The sequence below is a fragment of the Homo sapiens genome, chromosome 3 (assembly GCF_000001405.40).
Source record: "Homo sapiens chromosome 3, GRCh38.p14 Primary Assembly".
Classification (NCBI taxonomy): domain Eukaryota; kingdom Metazoa; phylum Chordata; class Mammalia; order Primates; family Hominidae; genus Homo; species Homo sapiens.
This window is the reverse complement of record NC_000003.12, coordinates 1,314,991-1,336,960: the sequence shown is the minus strand read 5'-3', so window position 1 is coordinate 1,336,960 and position 21,970 is coordinate 1,314,991. Positions and strand designations below refer to the sequence as shown.

Below are 21,970 nucleotides of genomic sequence, written 5' to 3'. Positions count from 1 at the left end.
TCTTTCTTTCTCTACCATTTCCTTCTCTCTTACTTTGGCTTCCTTCTTCCACTTTCCACTTTCCCTACGATCTTTATACCTTCCTTGTGTAGTTTTCCCACAATGGAATATAGTGTCCAAGAGGAAGGTGTCTGGGCATTGCGGAGCCAGGCAGGTGGAAGTGCAGTGGGTCTGCTCTAAATTTGAGGTTTGAAGGCAAAAATATTGAAGAAGCACCGCTTGTTCAATAATTGAATAAGACTCCAATTCACCTAATGGGTTCACTCTTTCCCACAAGGTACATGCATTTGCCAAGTGTCCAGGGCCACACAGGTTTTAACAGTAGCATTATTGTAGGATAAATCACACAGAATCCATGATTTGATAACACCTGTCTGCAAATATATATACTTGGAGTAAGTAGATAAAGGTAACGGAATTGGTTTCCAGAGAGTCCAGCTGTCCGCTCATTTCAATTCTGGGGAATATAATCACTTTCTGAAACCAATTGCTAAGGGGTAGAATCTCTGTAATTGAGTCAGTTTGATTCTCTGTAAATTTAAAAATGCCTTTGTGTTTAACTTTTTGAGATTACTAGGGTAAAAATGATACAAATTTAATCATATAATCGGTGACAATTGTGATCCTCAGAAATATATCTGAATATGAAAAAAAAATGTGCTTTAATGTTTTGAGATATGTAAAGTGCCTGGTACACCATCTAGCATGTAGAAGGTGCTTAAAGTGGTTATCATCATTATTAATGAGACTTTTTCTGACATTTAGCTGTATTTTATTTTATTTTATTTATTTGATTTTAAGAAATCTGGGCAAAGTGCAGTAGGCTTTTTTTTTAAGGAAAATGAGAGAAAATGCTGTCAATTACCAAAGATTCAGGGATTTTTTTGTTGTTGTTGTTTGTTTGTTTGTTTGAAACAGGGTCTCCCTCTGTTACCCAGGCTGGAGTGCAGTGGCACAATCATGGCTCACTGCAGCCTCAACATCCTGGGCTCAAGTTATTCTCCCACCTCAACACCCGTTCCCACCCCCATCCATTAGCTGGCACCACAGGGGTGTGCCACCATGTTCCACCCCATTCCTTTTTAAAATTTTTTTGCAGAGACAGGGTCTCACTATGTTGCCCAGGCTGGTCTCGAACTCCTGAACTCAAGCAGTCCTTCTACCTTGGCCTCCCAAAGTGCTGGGATTACAGGCATGAGCCACTGCACCCAACCAGATTCAATTGTATAATGGTATTCTTCCAATAATAGGACAACATTTCTTTTCTCCATCTCTTTGTTTTTATTGTTGATAGCTTGTATGTCCGCTATGACCAAACCCCAGGTAATTCAGGAATTGTATTTAATGCTGCCTGTCAGAGAACAACATTGAACTGTCTCTCCAGTGGGTTAACACTTCCTATTAAATTCAGGAGGTGATTCCTGAATAGGTAGACAGCAGTCACTGGGCATAAGGGGACAAATCTAGGACTTTGATTTCTGTCAGTTCACTTGCTAAGTAGATCCACAAGGAAAAAAAGAAGTGATTAATCAAACTTAGCAGATGTGGAATTGATTCCCTCAGTTGCCTGAGAATGCCTTGCAGAGATAAACTTAATCTGTAATTCATCCTGATTTTCCGTGGTTGTTCCTTGGCTGCCAGAGGTAAAAGCATGCACAACTGGGATATGCATACAAGTTACGATGACAGCAACAAATACATCCAATGTAGCAGTGTGTGTACAGCTCACCTGTCATTCCGGACATAAAATCTGAGTCTCTTATAACCTCATCAGAGAGACAAGTACCATTTTCTCTGAAATGAACCAGCTGAGAACCTGTGAAGTTAAAGGACTTGCTAGAAGTTATCAGCTAAGAAATAGAGTTGGGACTTTAACCCAGATCTTTGACTTCAAATCACTTTAAAGAAAAACATTATCATAAGAAAGGGCAAGAAGAATGTTATATGTTATGTGGCTATCTGGCTTAACACTTTATCCCCAGCACCCAGTTAGGTTATAATAGGTGTTCAGCAAATATTTGCAGAATGAATGAAGAAATTAATAAATGAATAATCATACCATCGGTCTATTAATTATTAAAATTTTTGGCTTAGCTGCAAAATCTCTAAAATTAGTTAAACAAATTAAATTTTAACTTTTATTAATTTAGCAACACAGAAAATATTTACTGAATGTGTGCTATATTCCAGGTTTGTGGTGGATGCTAGGCCTATAATGGTGAATTAAAGAATGGTGCTCGGTGCCTTCATGGAGCTTACAGCCTAGCTGATAGGGCTCTCTGTAAACTCTGAATCCATCCAACCAAATCATTTTAGCTGTTTTGACAGTTCACAGCAATTGCCGTGTTTGGCTCAGTCACCTGGTCACCCAAGCAAATCATTAAAACATATATAAAGTTATAACTAAGATAGAACTTTCAATTTCAACCCCTTGGGCTAAGGTTCTCTATTGATTTCTAAAATGTAATCTCTGTGCAAGCAGACACTGCATGAATATAGTGTTTAATATTTCCTAAAGTTGTTTTCATATTATTTCATCTTAAGATAAATCCAGGAAATAGTGGCCTCAAAAAAAAAAAAAAAATAAAAAGAGGAGTCTAGCATTTCTACTCAAGTCACGCCACTTATCAGTGATAGATCTGAGACCACAACCCGTGTTTTCTAATTCCCAGTGCTTCCTGGTTCTCCTGCAGGAATATGCCTTTTGCTTCTCTTCAATATAAGTGCTATTTCTAAACCACTGGTGGGTCTAAAAAGAATGAGACAGATGTTGCATGACCATTCATTCCCAGCAGGAAACCAGGCAGTCTTCGGACTCTGTAATGCCATCTACCTATTTTTGGTTCGAGAAACACTTTTCTCCTCTGACAGGCTGCTATAAATACAGATCCTTGCTTTAGGAACAGAACTCTTAAAACAGCCAAGACTTCAATTATGGCACATAGGCTAATAAGAAACATGTTCACTGTATTGAGAAATGTAACTTAATCTGAATTATCAACACATCAAATTACGTTGAATCATGTGACAACAGCCTTTCAAAAACTGAAGAGCTGAGCGTGTACTCCATTATCCATAGAGAGGAAAAGACGTGAATACAGAGATGGAAGACTTGGCACCAAGTCTAAGCTTCTTCACTTATTAGCTGTGTGATGGAAGCTGTTTCAATTCATGTAAGACTAGAAGAAATTGTCAAAATATATATACTGCCACCATTTTTTTATAAGTCAGCACTTCAGTCTGATTACTTTGAATAGGTTTCTTTAGAGCCCTCTCAACCATCTCTAGGTAGTTATACTTTATTGGCTGCAAGAGTTAGTGACAATGAAATTTCAAAGTAGACAGTACCATATAGAAGTTTTACAACAGAAACTAAAAATGTACATTTCCTCACATAGGTATTTCCAAGGTCAAGAACTAGAAACCATTTCTACTTGGAATCATTGTAAAATTTTGAACTTTTTTCCTATATCTGACTTTTTTATTCTTCATATATATACAACTGTGTCATGTTTTAACAGAGGTATGAGATGGTAGAAGTTATGTATATATTGCTATTTGAGTGAAATAATCAGTCTGGTGTGGCATTAAAAAATGTGTACTGGGCTCAGCGTTCTGTGTTTGAGTTTAGGATCTGGCACTGTAAATTCGGAAAATGGGATACATTATCTCTAGTGCTCCTTTCAAATATAGCATTGAACAGTGTATGTACACATGCAATAACCCTTGCATTTGTAATCAAATCTAAAAATAAATTGCCCAGTCAACCTTTATGTGCAATACTCTGTCCCTGGCTCCTAATATATTTAATTTTGTTTGCTTTGGAAATCTGATGCCAATTCCTAGGTACCCATCTACCCACACCCCACCCACACAAATACACACATACATACTCAATCAAATAAACTTTTTTATGTATTCAAATGTAAGAAAACATATTTTGTGAAATTAACTGCTATTTTGATGTTGTCTTCTCCAAAGCTTTCGTTAATATTGTCTTCTTAAAGCCATGACAATTTGAAAGCTAAATGTAGCTACTTTGCTAGGATTTAGGATCTGTTCTGTCAATACTCTTTTGAAAAAGAAGAGGGGGTTCTGATCAGGGAAAAAAGAATTTGGCTACCACGTAATGGTTCAGACCAAAGATGTAGAAGAAATAATCAACCTTGGGCCTGAACAGGCTTGAAGAAACCATTTGACTTTCTCTCCTTTTTTAGGAAAATGAAGTACCTCTAATTCATTTTACATATGAAGTTCTATAGAAGACAAATGACTTTGCCAAAGTCAGGCTCTCAACAGGGTGGGGGCTGAAATCTTTTTACTATATCACACCACGTCTATAGTAAACAGCAGTGACCCTTCTTGCCCTTCCTGCTTCCTCTCTCTCTTTCTTTCTTTCCCCCTCTTTCTCTTCCTTCCTTCCCTCCCTCCTTCCTTCCTTCCTTCCTTCCTTCCTTCCTTCCTTTTTTCCTTCCTTTCTTTCTCTCTTTCTTATCACTACTCTAATTTTTTACCTCAATCTGTTTGGAAGTCCCACGATAAGACTATAAAAAAGGCAATAGTCTGACACAAACAGAAGCATAGATGCTGTATTTCTCAACAAACAGCTTGAAGCCATGCACTTAATAAAGCCAGTCGATCAGATGGCAACAGAAGAAAGGACAAGCTAGAAAGTGTGCAGGGACATAGACTCATGGAGTTAACTGTGTGACCTTTTGAAAATTACTGCTCAGTGTAATCTCTACCGGGTGGAGATGTAGTGACTGTAATTACTACATTCTGCTAGAGCTCAATTATTTTCAACTTTTAAGAATGCACAGTAAGGAGATAATTTGCTTGTTTGTATGTATGTTTTCTTTTGTTAAGACCTGCAGTGAAACCCTGAAGCAATGAAAAGATAGAATGAAAGAATAATGTATAAATAGAACTCACAGGGTTCATTCCCTTAATCACAGAGAGACAATGCTGAGCTGATATGATTATTAGTAACTGTGGTGAGGTGAAAATGACCCCAAATTTATTCTGTATGGGACAAAACAAAATAAAACAAAAACCTGAAGAGCTGTTTTAAAAAGCAGTTTCCCTCCTGCTTTTTTTTCTTATTATCTTAGCTTTTTTTTTTCTCTCTCTCATTATCTTAGCTTTACTCAAATTCTCCTCCTAATTTTCTTTCTTGTTCCCACATACTTCGTGTTTGGACCTTTAAAGCTTGTGGAAGGTAAATGCCATCATTCTGCTCCTTGGGTGAGTTACTTTATTAAATGAGGCACAGTTAATCAATTTGTCCAGACCCTCAGTACAAGGTGCTGTGTTTGATACTGCAGGATCTCTTATGTTTTTCTGTTCCACAGCAGTGTATTCAAACCTTGATTAGATTTTAGGAATGCATGAGGAAACATTTAAAAAGAATTCACATCTAAATCTGTTGGGAGCAAATCTCCTAGGCAATGCACACAGAAGAAGAGACCCAACCTGAGTCAGGACAACAGGTTTCCTTTCACCTTTTCTTTCACCTTAGTTCTGAAGCACCTGTTCCTATGTCTTGAGGGATTTCCCCAAGAACAGCCTTTCTGTAAAGCTGGTAACGCTTTACATGTTCACCCTTTTTGATTCATTCATTTATTCCACAGATATTTATTAAGTTTTGGTTCTGTGCCAAGGCACAGGACATACAAAGATAAATGTGACATAATTCCTGTCCTGGGAAAAGCTTTAGTCCAGGGATGTAAAGAAATGCAGAGAATAAGGAAAGAAAGAATGCCCTAGAAAGGGGCTCTCTGATGTACACTTCATTGTGTAAATGGAATGGATCTTCAAGGCAGCAGTTATAACCACAAAGGGACTCTACACAAACCACAGAGACCCCTGCTTTTGTTTGTTTTCACCTCTTTTTTCCTCGGCCACAAATGAAATCTTGGGATTAGAAGTGATAAAATGATGTCCCTTCATTCATCCTATGGCTACTTTTTTCTGGCATGGGAGATTCAATACCAGAATGCAGACTTCTAGCTTTCTCTGAAACATTGGAAGTTCTACAAACCTAGTTCTCATTTCCCGCAAGGCAACCAGTTGACAGAATTTGGAGTTGTGACTATCCTTTTTAGGTAGGGAACTCACTTTCTAGTCCGTCACAGTCATTTCTTCCAAGAGTAACAACTGTCATTTTTTAACACACTTTAGTTGTCCTTTCTTTCACCTGGCCTTTTACCTGCCCATCCTGGTATGCATATAAGTCATGGAACATATGATGCTGAAGAAGAGCTCATTGAACGAAAGGGACTATTTTCATATCTTCAGCACAATGGCTCGTTCACATTAGGATTTAATTGCATATCTGATTATAGAGTAACACATGTGAGTCATTAAAAGAGAGCAGCATCTGTGGTCTAGTCACCTCATGTATACAAGGCTCTACGGTACAATAGAATAAAAGATATTACAAGTAGAGAAAAACACCCGTCTTTTTTTTTGTTTGTTTGTTTTCTTTTGTCAAAGTCTCCTAGAAAACATGCCAGTGCTGACCTAGGGTTTCTCAACTGTATCCATTATGGTAGGAAACCTCTCTTCTTTCTCTACAGGAACCTCTCTACATTTCTTCATGTGGTGAATTCATTTTGTCATGGGGTGAACACCTGTGTGACTATTTAAAAACCACAACACCAGGTGTGTGCCAATGAGTGTCTCTCTCCTTTGTGAAATGTTATTCGCACTGATTTCTCAGCAGGCTGGTTCAGGAGGAAGCCTTCAAACTGAATGTAGAAAAAGGTCTTAAAAGATTTTTAAAAATCTATTACAAGTGCATGCACTGAAAATATTGCAGCTAACTTATACAAACAGGTCTTTATTTTATAAGATCCTTTTGTTTTTTACAATTTTACTATGATGAGAAGAATGCTGGCGTCTCTAGGTATGCCAATGAGACTTTATCATAAAAGAGGAAATTTTGAAAGGCCTACTAAAACCTAAAAATTTGGAAGATGTTATATTACAAACAAAAATATTTTTAAAAATAAAGATTTGTTTACCTTTTGCTTTGTCTAAGGGTCTCCGTTCCTCTTTTCCAAGAGATAGCTGCCCTGGGAAAAGCATTTGGTTTGCATCCGATAACAATATCCCCACCAACTTGAACAAAAGACTTTTTTTTAACTGGACTTTTGGAGAAATCTGGAGCTGAGGCTAAAAACAAAATCAAAGACAAAATTGTTTAATTACTCAGTTAACATGTAGTGACTCCAGGGGTGACTTGCTATGCTAGACAGAATCTAATATTTATAGCTGTATCCTCTTTTCAGGTTACTTTGCTCAAGGTGTTCTTGGACCAAATACTGACTTAACATTTTAGAGTTTATGTTTTGTTTGTAAAATGAAGATGACAAAAGATATTACCTTAGAGAGTTAGTGTGGAGATTAAATGATGTAACAGTTGCAGGGAATTATAGTATAGTGCCTGGCGCAAAGTATAGGCTCAATAAATGCAACTTATTTTTGTTTTGTTGGTGGTCATTGCAATAATAAAAGCAAGTGGTAGAGAGGAGGCAAGTTAGACAAAGTCACTTTTCTAATAGCATTTACAACAAAGAGGATGAAGATGGTTTCAAAAGAGGCCGAAGAAGGAATTTTAATTCTGACCAGGAAAGTCTATTCCAGCCAAAACAATGATCATACATGTCATATACATACATATGATAAATCAGAAACACACACACACATATACATGTATGCACATACATGTGTATCCATATATATACATGTATATGCATACATGTATATATGTATGTGTGTTTCTGATTTATTATATATGTATATAAGCAATGGAACATATGATGTTGAAGAAACACACACACATATACATATATACGTATATACACATATATACATATATATGTGATTTATATATGTATATATACCAATCTGATTTATTTCAGTGGTATTGTATTGTGGTTAGCAACTGAAATAAATCAGAAATATTTTATTGCTATTAGCAATAAAATACTATTGAAATAAATCAGAAATGCTGTATCACTATGTCGGTTTTTTCCCCACTAAATATATGTTGAACAAATGCCAGTTCAGAAGGACAAGAAATTATTAGGCTATCAGGGTGCCTCTGAATCTTTCCAACTTCATGAATGTTGGAATCCATGTGTCCAGTCTCCATTTCTAATCTAAAGCTCAAGTGAACTGAAGTTCTTTCGGGTATGCCATGCTCTCTTGCTTCTGGGCTTTTCAGATGTTGCTTCTCTACCCTTCACCTTACTGATGCATGTTTTTACTTCTGATCTTAGATTAAAGGGAATGTCCTCAATGTAGGTTATGTTCAACTTGTCATGTGCAACGATAGCAACTCCTCAATTCTTAGCCATAAGAATTGCCATATTTTAAATCTGACACTTTTTTCTCCTTGAAATTATAGGTTGAGTGAAGATAAAGATCACTTCATCTTGATACAGCTCAGTACATAATAAATGTTCAATCAAACAGTAGCGATAGAAAGAATGAGCAAATGAATGAGTGCTCATCACCCATAAGCTCATAAAACTTTGTGTCTTGTTGTTTGATCCTTCCTCTCTTTTATCTCCTCTGTTCTTCCTACCACTAAGAAACCCTTGGGTTGAAAACTATCAACGCGTCATTTATTGTGGCAGACACCACTGGTTGGACTTCCCAAAATATCATTCTCAAATTGCTTTAATCTCAGCACTTTTCACTATAGGGACTTATTTTTCTACCTCCTCTTGATGTCTGGATGGTCATGTGACAGAACTCTAGTTAATGACATAAAAAGTTTACTATGGAAGCTAAGGGAAATTCTGCTTTTCTAATAAAAGAGATAAATGTGATTATTTCTGTAACCTCGCTCTTCTGCCTTGAGCATAGACTTGATTTCTATAACTAGAGCAGCCATCTTGTAACCATGAGGCTTTGATGCTGAAGGGAAGGTGTAAAGGATTTTGTCAAGTTGAGGTGCCATGCCCGGCAGCCAATGCCCCTCTTGCTAAGAGATAAAATAAATTACTGTTTCTTTTAGTTACTGTGAATTGTGATTTTTTTATTACTTTTTAATTTGCAGCTGAAAATATTCCTAAAGATATTCTTTGAGTTATACTCAAAAATTCATGCTAGAATCAGCTTTGGAAGAGCTTCCTCCGGTTTGGATGCACCCAATGGTGGGTTTTTTTCTGAAGCCCCAGTGCATTGCCCAAGCAGAATAATAATTACCACCTTGAATTTTGTAAAAAGTTAATTTAGACATTTCCCATTATTTGATGGGACAGCAATTTCTAATTTACAAAAAAAATTGGGTTGGGATTATGCATAATTATAGCTTGTTAAAACGTCATTTTGAATTTGTTGGTTGTAAATAAACGACTTACCTAAAACTCTCAATTCAGCATTTGCATAAATTATCTGATATTTGTTTTCTGCAGCACATTGGTACACACCAGAATCTGACACATTCAGCATCGTTATGATGAGTGTCCCATTTTCTATTTGAATTCTCTCCTAATAAAGGAAAAGGCATATAAAGATGCTTGTACGTTAATATAGCATTCTCTTAACCAGGATATGTTATTAAACAACATTTGTGTATATCTATGAGATCTGATAATTTGGTGTATTAATACACTACTAGATTCTGAGCAGCATTTTTAAGTTTAAAAAACGAAAATATGTTTAGGATAATTTTAGTGGTTACTAGTGTGTTTTATGTTATCTCATTTCTTTGACAATTGACATACTTTGCACAAAATGTATGTTAACTTTCTGTTATTTGGTATACATAGTAATTTGGAATACTCCACCGTCCTAATTATTCCAGGAAAACACGGTTAACAATAATGTTAGACATGTATATCATGACTAGAACACTGCCTTGGCTTTCCATTTTCCAAAAGTTTCAAAAACATTTGAAATGTGATGATGTGATAATTTTCTAATTGAGTCTTGAGTTGGAGTAGCTAAATCCTTCCTTTCTACAAACTACTATAAAGTGTGCCTAAACAGCCAAAATCTGTTACAGAACCCCATGTGGGGTATAGAAATACAATTTTGAGTGCACATAGTGACATAATTAATAGTACAAATATAACTTAAGACTAAATATTTCAAGGCATGTATTACCATCCTCTAGGGAAAAGGAAAATAGGCTGGAGGAAACAGAATGCTATATGCAAAAGGCATGCAGGAAGAAAATTTCACTGATGCTGAAACAAAGAACAGCATTATATTCAGCTTCCAAACAACAGATGTTCTTTGTGTCTCTGGCTATGCCTACATGTGCAAAGTAAAATGGAGAATTGACACAATTATCTGGATAATTTAATAGGTAAAAAACAAATCTTTCATTTTCTAGGTATTGTAGAAGAAAGTATGCTTTAAATGGAGAAATGTGGATAACTGCCTTAGTTATTTACTTTCCTAGGGGTTTAAAGACAGTCGTCAGTGTTCATAAAAGCAAAATACTGGGTAGTGACTAAGAGATTGGGTCCTGATATCAGACCAAAATAAAAGTTTAAAATGCTAATTCTAACATTTACTAGCTGCTGTGTGACCTTAAACAAGTAGCCTAACCTCTTTGAAACTCATTTTCTTCATTTACATAAAGGAATAATACTTGTATCTCTCTTATAATGTTTTCATGAGGGTGCAATAAGATAATGCACGGAAAAATATTTAACACAGGGCTTGGCTCATATGAGAGTTCAGTAAGTGTTATCCGTGTCGATGATGACGGTGATGATGATGATGATATTTAAATGTGAATCTATTACTGGCTAACAGTGATTTTGTGAAAGTTATTTGTCTTGTCTACACTTATTTTTCTCTTTTGAAAGATGGGTTACTTTGTAAGTTTATTTAAGGATTAAATAAATCAGTGTATGCATCCTTTCCTGGAACATACCAAAGACTCCATTAACATTAGCTGTTTCTGTTAGTTACTAGTACTGTTAGTAACAAAATTTACCTAGTAGAGTAGGTAAACTTTTAATATCAACATAGTTGCTTACCTCTGGGTTGAGTCGTTCACCATTTTTTAACCATGTATACCAAGGGTTTGGCTTTCCACTAGCTTTACATTCCCAGAGCAAGTTGTCATAGATAGAGAGGTGTGTATTTTGGATTTTCTGTTCCCATTCTGGAGGAGCTGTTTCAAAAAGGCAAGTGCCACTGTTTGGTAAAAGGCAGTTATCCAAGACATTATGCTACATTACAAGGGCTGTAGAGATCAGAAGGACAAGGCTAACTGGGTCCAGTTGGATTGCACACACACGATTTGAGGGAGGGGACATGCAGGAGCTTCAATGCGGGTTGACAGAAATCCTGTTGCAAATATCATTGGGCATTTGGCTCAAGTTAAATGTTTGTCATCTGTCATTTTGCTCCACCTGTATAACAACTTGGGAGCTGTGGGAAAAGGGCAAAATGTAGAACAGGGCCAGGGAATAAATCCATGCTAAATATTAGAACATAGGTCAAGTTAGAAAATGTATATCAAATCTGAACCTGTGGAATAAATCTGAAAGTTCACTGATTATATTTGCTCTAAACTAAAAGTAATAAATCTGTATCTGTTTCAGACACAATTACAACTCAATACCTTGAAGCATAAATCAAACATGAGCTTCCTGGCATTTTGGTAGAAAGATAATCCAGTATTCTTTTTTCCTAGATAAAATTCTTGACAAGGAATGGTGAACATTTGGAGTTTTATACAGGTTCAGTATCTTACTTTAATTCTGGGTGTGAGTTTTCCAAATTTTCTTTAATTTGAGAAAGTTCTTCATAGTAGTGAGACAACAAGAAACTGGCATAATTGACGTGAAAGTAAGATTGTATTATTTTTACCATCATTCATGGAAACAGGCGGGTTGGAAATTAAATGTTTTCACATGAATATCTCTTTCATAAACTGACTGGAAACTGCCTGGAGGTGCCAATTAATCCCTCTCCTTTATTTAGTTCTGTCCTTGGATATACAGAAGTATATGACGCTTCCCTTGGACTCTCAGGCTGTGGCAAGCCAGATGCTTTATATTTGTAATTGCACTTAATTCCCTCTACAATCTTTCAGTGGATTCTCGCAGCGATGTTAGGTAACCTGTTCAAGATGACATGGTAGAAAACAGGGAAGCCAAAATTTGAACCCTAAAAGCAGAACCTAAGTAAAGGGCTTGAGTTCCACATGTTCATTTGAGAATGTTAGCCCAAGGGAAAAGCATCAGGAAAAAAAGGTAGTCACCGGGAAGGAAAAAAAAGTCAATGCAAGGCTGAGTTATTGAGTTGACCACCAACACGATCCATTGTTCTCCATCTTATGTCAACTTCTAAGCAGTCTTTAGAGCTGTCTACCCAGGGAAATGAAGGGGGATCATTTAGTTCCCATCCATGGTCATCTAAGGGTAGTGCAGGTGTAAACTACTGGCACATCCAAACTGGGCATGCTTAAATGCTGAGTAGGCTCACGAAGGAGCCAAAGAAAACCCAGAACAGAAAACAAGATGTGCTTGGTAGTTTTGCACCTGAGACAACACTCCTTCAGGTTACATCTACAACGCACAGTGCTGAACTGGCCACCGTAGCAGTGGCTGAAGTAAGAAGCAGGGCCGAGAGGATTCGAAATTGTGCACAATATAAAACGCAAGTCTGTCTGACTTCTAGAGTTTTTCTACTGCACAACCTGCCTTCACCAAGACAGAAGACCCTTCAATGAGACTACAAACGAGTAAAAGAAATCATGATGTCTCTGGGTGGTGGGAACTAAGCCTAGGATTACCTCTTGCAGGAATCAGGACAACTTCCAGTTACAGAATGTGCTTCCTGCAGCCTTGAGGGACAAATCAAGGCAAAACTTAGAAGAACTAGATCTATTGGTGAAATTGAATCATGTTTCTGGGTATTATTAACAAAATTATATAATTCATAAGTATTTGTTTAGAAATTGTCCTAATATATGTCTGACCTGGGAAAATAAATGCATGCTCATATGTAATTTCACATAACTTACAAAGGTTTCAGATATATCTGATTTTATGCTTAATGCAATAATTGCGGCTACAGAACACATTTATTTATTCAACGTGAACATTCTTTGGATGATTAAAATTCTGGAGAGCAAAGTTTTAAATTTAAAACTAGGTAGGAAATTCATGGGAGAAGAGGCTTAGGATTTTGGGTCTACCATACAGGTTTGAGTTTTAGATTTTTTTCTGCCATATTGACTGGTTATGAAAAGCCACTTAACTCCTCTGAACATGTTCTATTTTCTATGATGAATAATACTTTAGAGATTTCTTTTAGAGATTATAAAATTACGATATAGATGGATATACAATATTACTTGGTTCTGAATTATAACTTAAACACAGCAATATAACAGACTGAGAGATTCTTTTCTTGAATTTCTCAGTTATTATTCAACTCTGAGGTAACTGAGTCAGTAATCCTCTTTTCTTTTGAAAGCACTTCAGAAAGTGAATTAATATGTGACTAAGAAACATAATGATTATGTTATTGACTAAGTATCCATTATTCCCCTACAAGGACCATTTCAGGCTAATTAAATGGCTAATTTGGTTGTGGTGAGATATAGTACAATGAGCTTAGACCACCATGTTGAAATGCTATGGCAGTTTCAGAAGACATTTCAAGGTTCTGATCTTGAATCTGACAATCACTATCTGTGAGATCCTGCACAATTAACTTAAGATATTTTTGCCTATAGTATCACTGAACATTGTTTCTACCTCTTAATATTAATCTTAAGATTTCTACTTCTTAAGATTAAGAATTCTATAAGTGAATGTTTGTAAAATTGCTATGTAAGCTAACATTTGCTTTATCAGTATACAGAAAGGTACTTTATTATTGATTTCCAGTTTACAGATACCTTTGTGTTCTGGTTCATCCCTTGATTATATCTTTGTCTATTATATATAAAATGGAAAATATTTCTTTAAAACTAGCCAAAGCATTCAATATCTTCATTCTACTAAAACTCCCATTTGTATCCTATTTTATTTACAAAGGATACTAAATTCCAAAGACTTTCCTTTAAAGTGTAGGTACTACTGAAAAAAAATATTGTTTTTCTTGGCTAGGTTTGCTAAAACTGTAGGAGAATAATGAGTAGAAAATTATATTCTATATATAAAATAGTAGTATTCATTGCAGGTTAAAGTTGGAAATTCTAAAGAAAATGGAAAATAATATTACAGACACACAATATGTTCTCCCCACGGGCACTCAATCAACATTCCTATGGGATAATTACAGTATCCTGGATTTTTCTAGTTATTACACACACACACACATACACACACACATACACACATATTTTCTCTAATTACTTTATCATTGATTATAAACATGTCACATAGGAAAGTATTTTGGCCATATATCAATACTTTTTAAAAATTATCTAATACAGATACATTAAGTTTATCAAAGAAGTTAAGGATCTTTTAATAGTATACAGCATTTTGCAAATTCTGAGATATATTGTATTGTTTACTTAATGTTAAGTAAGAGAAAATTTCAATCCTGGATTAAAGAAGACACAAAGACAGCTTTTAGATAATATATGCATTCATCGTCTCTCTTAAGTTTACGAGAGATTTTTGTAACTGAGACAAACATAATTTTAAATAATGTAATTGCCTTCTTTTTATATTACCTACTTATGAGTAGACAAAATATGAAAACTAGGAACAAATATTATAAACCACCATGCAGTATTATATTTTTCCTATCAATTTTTTTCATTTATTAATTCTACTTAGAATTAGAATCAAGATTGCTATAATCTGCTGCAGAACGTTTAATGGGAAATATATGGAGTTCATGCTTCCTTTTATTATAAACTTTTATGGCTTTAACATGACACTGCTGATATTTTGAAGGCAAATATAATAAACAATAGCATTCATAGACCATGCTAAAATTAAAACCATATTTTAAAGGTGGTCATTCCCATCTGCTAATCATTGTGTTAAGCATCTAAACCCGGAAATATGCCTTCCTTATTTCTCCCGTGACACTTTTTCACAACATGCTAATGACTTCCACAATTTATTATGAAGGGCATTACCAAATATTTTATATATATTTGAAATCCAATTAGCTCACCATAAAAAATGAGTTGACCCTTTGCAAGGTTTCTTCCTCGAAGGTTGCTTGCAATGCACTCATAAAAGCCTTCATCTTCTTGTTGGAAGTTCGGGATTTCAAGGATAGCTTGGGATTTGCTGTACTTGACTTTCCCTGGCAACGGGCTCCCGTCCAACCTTCTCCAACTAATATCGGGGACTGGACTAAACAGTTACACCTCATTAGAATAGAAGACGGTTTAATCTTTATGACAGCAAAATAAAAGAAGAGCATCCATACAAATAACTCTCAAGAAAAATATTCTATCAATCTGTTGTATTATGACTAGTTTTCAGATCATGCAATCATTCGCCATTCACTCAATCAGTCATTTATTTAACACTTTATTAAGTGCCTGCCGTATGCAAGTCACTGTGCTATGTTCAGGGAAAATAGTGGTGAATAAAATAGACATGTCCTCTGCCCTTATGTTGCTTACAGACTAGTGGGAAAACATACCATAAACAAATAATAAAAACAAGTACACTTGCAAACTGCAATAACCGAAACAAAAGAAATAGAGTGCAGAGATAGTAACAAGATTATGTCAATTTATTATAGTGGTCAAGGAAATTCTTTGTGAGAACATGACATTTAAGACTAGGCAGGCTTTATATATATATTTATAGTTTCTAAGGCAAAAATATAAAGTATTCCAGATCTAAACTGGTACTAATAGGTAACTGAAGACATGGGATGGGTGAGGTAAATTATCCAGGGAAAACAGCACTATAAAACAGACCCATATGAACTGGTAAATAGGCTCTATGATCCTCAAAAAAAGTACTCATTTATATACGATTTAAAAAAAAGTAAAACAAAGATGGATTTACACCGCAGCCTGTCCCCTGTTATAAAGAACTTGTAAATAAAGTTACTTTATTAATATTAATTTCGTCTACTTTCTCATATCTATTATTTTTAGTCTAATATGGGTATCTTTCAAAGGAGCAAAAATACATGTTATAATAAATGAAACTAAGTGTTTAACAATAAGGGATGAATTTAGAAATTAATGGTTTAGAAGGCATAAAATAAGAACGGGCAGGCTGCAAGCAAAGTTCCAGAAGGAAAATATTCACTACTAAACTAATGAATTGTAAAATGAATCCCCAGTCTGTTCACATTAATATCTCTCCTTTCCTCTTGTCAAGTCATTCTTCATTCCCTTATAGATTTTTAGATGATTTGAATAATTCTATTCTAATTATATTTCAAATTAATAATAATGGTAGTAAGTCATTTTGCAAAGTCAATTGGTAAACCTTGAAGAAGAGGCAGAATTTCTTCAAGTCAGCAGAAGGAATGTGGGAGGCTCATCCAACTACATGCAAAGTGCTTGGCAAATAAAGATTTGGAGAGTTTGAGCAGTAAACAACTGCAGAAAGTTGGGATGTCTCAGTAGAAGCTTCAAGCAAGAACACTTATGAAGCCTTAGACATTTTTATTGGAAAAAATTATTATCCTCCTATGTACATCAAGGATAAAGCACAAGGATAAAAATCATATGCACTCAAACATATTTGTCAGAAAATGTGCCCTAAATCAATGTTTGATTCAATTATTCTCAGAATTAACATACAATTACAGTGAAAACTTGAATTTTGAATTGCCTTAAGTAAAAAATAATTATTATCATATACTAAGTTTTTGTCCTTTTAAAAAGCCTTGCCACTTGCCACAAATTTAAGTTGACATTTCAGTAAATTGGTATATTCATGGCAACAATTAACCTCAGATAACTGATGTTCTTTTTCATTCATTTTATGGCATACTAACCAATAAGAACGAAATTCTAGAAGGAACTTTATTCACATAGATATTCACAATGTCTAGTGAATTTTATAGGATATGAGGTATTATTCAATTAAAAATGCATATGTTGTATGTATTGCATGTGAAGTTTTTATCTATGGGTAGTTGTGATATAAATGTCTTTTATTTTATTTTATTTTATTTTATTTTATTTTATTTTATTTTCTGCTCTCTGTTTATTTCTGGTTTTCATTATTTTCCTGCAATGAGCATGCATTACCAGTGTAATAAAAATTTTCTGAGAAAATTGTTTTACAAAGGAAAAATAGAGCTCTAATATTTGTCTGAATTCATGATCCTTTATCTTTTTATGACAGCAAATCTCTGAGATTTATAACAAATACATGCAAAGTATCCAATTGAAAAGGCTTTTAATCTAAAACATTCAGACAAAATATAAGTAAAAATTGTGTATTTTTCCCTCTGCTCTTAGTTATTTATATTGATTGTGAAGACAGAAGTCATTTTTTAACATAACTAAATACCTAAGTAACTGAACATTTTGACAATTATGATAATTGTAATAATATTACAACAAATAGCTACCTTATATGCATATATTATGCAGACTCACAGTACCTGTACAATACAGAGTACCAAGTACTATGTATCTGTACAATACGTACATATAATTTCACTTACTTTTCTAAAGCTAAAGAGGCGGAGCTGGGATTCATTTTCAGGTTTTCTTGAAGTAGAAGCTATGAGTATAATTCAAAGGAATACTGACTTCACAGCTGTTGTGTTAGGTTGGTGCAAAAGTAATCGCGGCTTTTGCCATTAAAAGTCATGGCAAAAGTAGGATTACTTTTGCACAAACCTAATTAGATCATTCCCTTGAAGCCTAGGTATTTGTTACTTTACAAAAGTGGATCTCCATTTTAAGTGGCCCAATTGTGTGGGTGTAAAGAGAATTCCACCTTGTCCAAAGAAAAATAACTCAGTGACAACATTAAAGTCTTACTGGACAAGCATTTTTTCCCTTTGATACAAGAAATGGAGTCTCCTATTTAGATACACCTTTCTTAGACGAGTAATGTAGCAGAAAATGTCAGTGCTGGACTCACGTCCCTTCTAATCCCTCTTCCGCCCCAGATTCCTATGTACTTTGTACCCTTAAGAGCCAGTACATGTTATCTCTTTTTGGACACTGTCCTCAAGCTGTTATAGCTAATTTATCTTCACAAAGAGAGAACTGAAAGTACCTAGGAATTTACATACCCCCAGGAGCAGCCATTAACCAATAAATGACTGGCTTCTAGGGTATAACTTCTCCAGCTCCCGTGCTCCTAGTTGTGAGACAACTCTAGGTATGACCTGTATTCTCTCCAGAGCTATAGGATTGAATCAAATTTACCTTCTGTGGAACTTTGCTTGACAGTATACCGAGCTTGGCTACTATCTCTTCCCTGCCCCACTTCCCTCTTTTCCTTTGGGTTCTTTCTAAAAACTCATCTAATAAATCACTTGCAAAAAATTATACTTTCAGGTTCTGCCTCTTAAAAATTCAATTAATTAGAATTCCCAGCGGGCTCTAATCATGTGCTACTTTAGTTAAAATACCAACTGTAGGAAACCTTAAGTATTTCTTATTATAGTATTTTTATATAGGCTTTAGACACACATCCAAATGGAAGTCTAGAGAATTGAACATGAATGGCATATAAGACAAAAAAAAAAATTAGTAGTAGAACCATTGTGAAAAACCATGAATTGTGAACATATGTTGAGAACTTATTGCTCTGCAGAGCTACAATCACACCAGAATGATAGCAAAAGGCAAGAAACGCAAGAGACATGAGACTTAAAAGAGACAAGAAAATCTCACTAAGAAAGAAACTCCTCTAGAATTTTCTTTCTTTTTCTTTCTTTCTCTCTCTTCTTTCTTTCTTTCTTTCCTTCTCTCTTTCTTTCCTTTTTTTCTTCTTTCTCAATTGTGTTTGGAGTTGTAAGTCTGATAAAACATTCAATTAAGGAGAAGGTTATAAGATTCAGGGTACAGTACTGGGCTTTAAAAGTTATATTGTTCCATTTTGAAGATGGTTACAAGAATTAATGTCCTGGATTCTAAATCTGCAGAGGACATGTGTTTGCTTTTTTTTTTTTTTTTAACCTGCATTTTTATTTTCCTTACAAAGCCCAATCCTCCCCATCTCATTTCAGTTGGGCTGACCACACCTCTGGCATTAGGTGAGAGCACATAATTCAGGTCTTGCCATAAGAGGCTTGTAGGGCATAGCCACCTTGACTAGACAAACACGGGGATGAAGACAAACCAACCAGAGACAATTAGATTCAGTTCCAGGACTGCTTGCAGAATGGCTCTTGAAGAGGAGATCTCTTTCCACTGAGGTTTTTTGAGACAGTGAGGTATAAACGCCAAGATTCTAGTCAATAATTTTCCACCAAATAGAGAAAGCATCTCTGAAATCCGAAACTAACACAGAGGAAAGAAACTTGGAATTGTTCACACACCTAACTCAAGGCATGCTTGATGCCCACCCCCCGAAAAACAAACAAGCATCAACCTTTTTGAACGTTTCAGTTAGCCAATATATTATTTTTTTCTTAAGCCCATTTTGAGTCATTTTCCTGCTGTATTCATCCAGAACAGACCTGACAAATAGATTCTGAATGCCTCAGTTCAAATGCTAGCTAGGTTAGTTTCTATCTGTGTGATTGAATTACATGATATGGTGGATTCCTCCTGGCTATTATAGTGTGTGCTCTAGATATTTTAGAATCCTCACAGCAAGAAAAAACAACAAATTATCAAAAAATAATGATAAAAACCTTTTAAATAAGAAAAGTCTAATCAAATGCATTTTGCGGCAATAGTCTGTGTTAACAAAGTTTTTAATGGGAGAAAAGTGAAGCAGGTTTATACAATTTCACAGTTCCTAATTAAATGTTGAGATTTTTTTCAGCTCAGTTATATAACTGCTAAATCTGAATGCCATGTTCCTCTTGCTTATCATTGGTAATGTAAGGTACAGAGGCAGAAAGAATAAATGCAAAACACAGGTTATTTAAAAATATGTATGCATTTTAATGAGCAATTCCCACTTCATCCCAGAATTTTTTATGAAGACACTAAATAAACTGCTTCAGATTTGACACCATTTCTCTTTTCTGAAGCCATCCTAAATGGACAGTGGGTGGGAAAAACTGGAATCAATGAAAAACAAAATTATTTTAGTAGCGAGCTTTAATGTTTTAATGTAAGCGTATTTTTCCAAGAGATACCATTCTGTGTTAATAATAATAATAACAATTACAATAAGGTTTACTAGTATAATACTATGTATGTAGTAAAGAGAGAAATGTGGCTCTCATCCTTAGCTAAATTTTGTTGCACATTTATAAGCAAGAATCTTCTTTACATAGTTTGGATCTGTGTCCCTGCCCAAATCTCATGTAAAAATGTAATCCCCAGTATTGAAGGTGGGGATCTGGTGGGAGGTGACTGGATTATGGGGGTGGATCATTCATTAATGGTTTAGCACTATCTCCGTGGTGCTGTTCTCATGATAGTGAGTGAGTTATTGTGAGATATGGTTGTTTAAAGGTGTGTAGCACCTTCCCTCTCTCTCTCTTCCTTCTGCTCCAGCCATGTAGGACATGCCTGCTTCCCCTTCACTTTCTACCATGATTGTAAGTTTCCTGAGGCCTCCCCAGAAGCAGAAGCTGTTATGCTTCCTGTACAGCCTGCAGAACTGTGAGCCAATTAAACCTCTTTTCTTTATAAATTGCCCAGTCCCTGTTATTTCTTTATAGCAGTGCAAGAATAGATTAATACGCCTCTCATTTATAGCATGGTAATTAGTAATAGTACACAATTCATAGGCTTATTTTGAGGATTAAGATAATTCATGTCACATGCTTACCATACTGCCTAGCACCTATTAAACAATATGTTTGAGTGTTCAATTAATAAAAATATTTTAAGATTATTATAATGTGATTACTATCATTTCAAAACCAGGAATCCTAATTCACATGTATTTGTCTTTTACTCTCTGTTAAGGGATCCATATGACTACGCATTTGATACAAACTGATTTACGAATCATTTATACACTGAAATCAGATCTCCACACTATGAATGAAACGGCTACACAAGCATGAGTGTGTGTAAATTTCCTGCATCTCACCATTTAATGTCCTAGCTGCTATGGAGATACAACCTTGATCATAGTAGTCATGTTCACTTCATCATGACAAGGGCAGGAATCTTTCAGGTGAGACATGGATGTGTGGGTGTGGAGGACCTTTTTCTTTAACGTGGTTAATCATCTAGTACCATTTCAGTAGGGAAGAAAGCAATCAGACAGTGCTCTCCAAACTGAAGGAAATGGTATAGGAAAATTAGATATTTTAAAATAATATTAATAATCATTAACTGAGTGCTTACTATGTACCAGGCATTGTGACAGATGGCTTCCATATGCCATCTGAGCTAAATACCCAGCTTGCAGCTGCTAACAATGCTAATTAACTTTTTGGAATGATACTCACCTTTAGATGGGTAATTTCAACTAAATTATTACCTGCCAGTTCTCCTCCACTTAGAGTTCCAGAGCACGCTAATTTATTGTGATCTACCTTCTAATTCCTTTGAGTTGCCACCCACTAAATTAAAAGCACTAATAGACTGTTTCTCCTACTGTGGCTTCAGCATTCTTTTTAGACTCTGTGTAGTTTGTCCATGTTGATACTAGCAATGCAGTATTTACTAGGAGTTCGTTTTGCTTCAAGATAAATGATCTCTTTAAAATGAAAAGTTAATATATTAATCAGATAAAGAACACCATGGAGGAAGGTGGATCTTTGAAGGGGTCTTCAGAATGGAGATTATCGTTAAATCTCTTGAAACTGATGTTACAGAGTCAAAACAAATGGTGCCATTATCATTTTAACTACAGATATCAGTCGTTTCTGGCAACATTTCCCTTTAAACTCCAATTTTACACTTCTCCCCTCTCTCTTTTTACAAAAATTGAGCTTG

At 35.3% G+C, this 21,970-nt stretch overlaps 1 protein-coding gene across 23 annotated transcripts in view; it reads right to left on the bottom strand.

Annotated features, from left to right (window-relative positions):
* Positions 1–21,970, bottom strand: part of CNTN6 (contactin 6) — a 311,194-nt gene that overhangs the window by 67,257 nt on the left and 221,967 nt on the right. For 18 of the 23 annotated variants that reach the window (XM_011533590.3, NM_001349351.2, NM_001349354.2 and 15 more), the window contains 4 exons: positions 15,127–15,311; positions 11,010–11,146; positions 9,375–9,504; positions 7,026–7,176 (listed from right to left, as the gene is read on the bottom strand). In XM_011533590.3, the coding sequence (XP_011531892.1) occupies positions 7,026–7,176; positions 9,375–9,504; positions 11,010–11,146; positions 15,127–15,311 (603 nt within the window). The remainder of the gene's footprint in view (positions 1–7,025; positions 7,177–9,374; positions 9,505–11,009; positions 11,147–15,126; positions 15,312–21,970) is intronic. The other 5 variants (NM_001349361.2, NM_001349356.2, NM_001349357.2 and 2 more) reach the window with 3 other exon arrangements.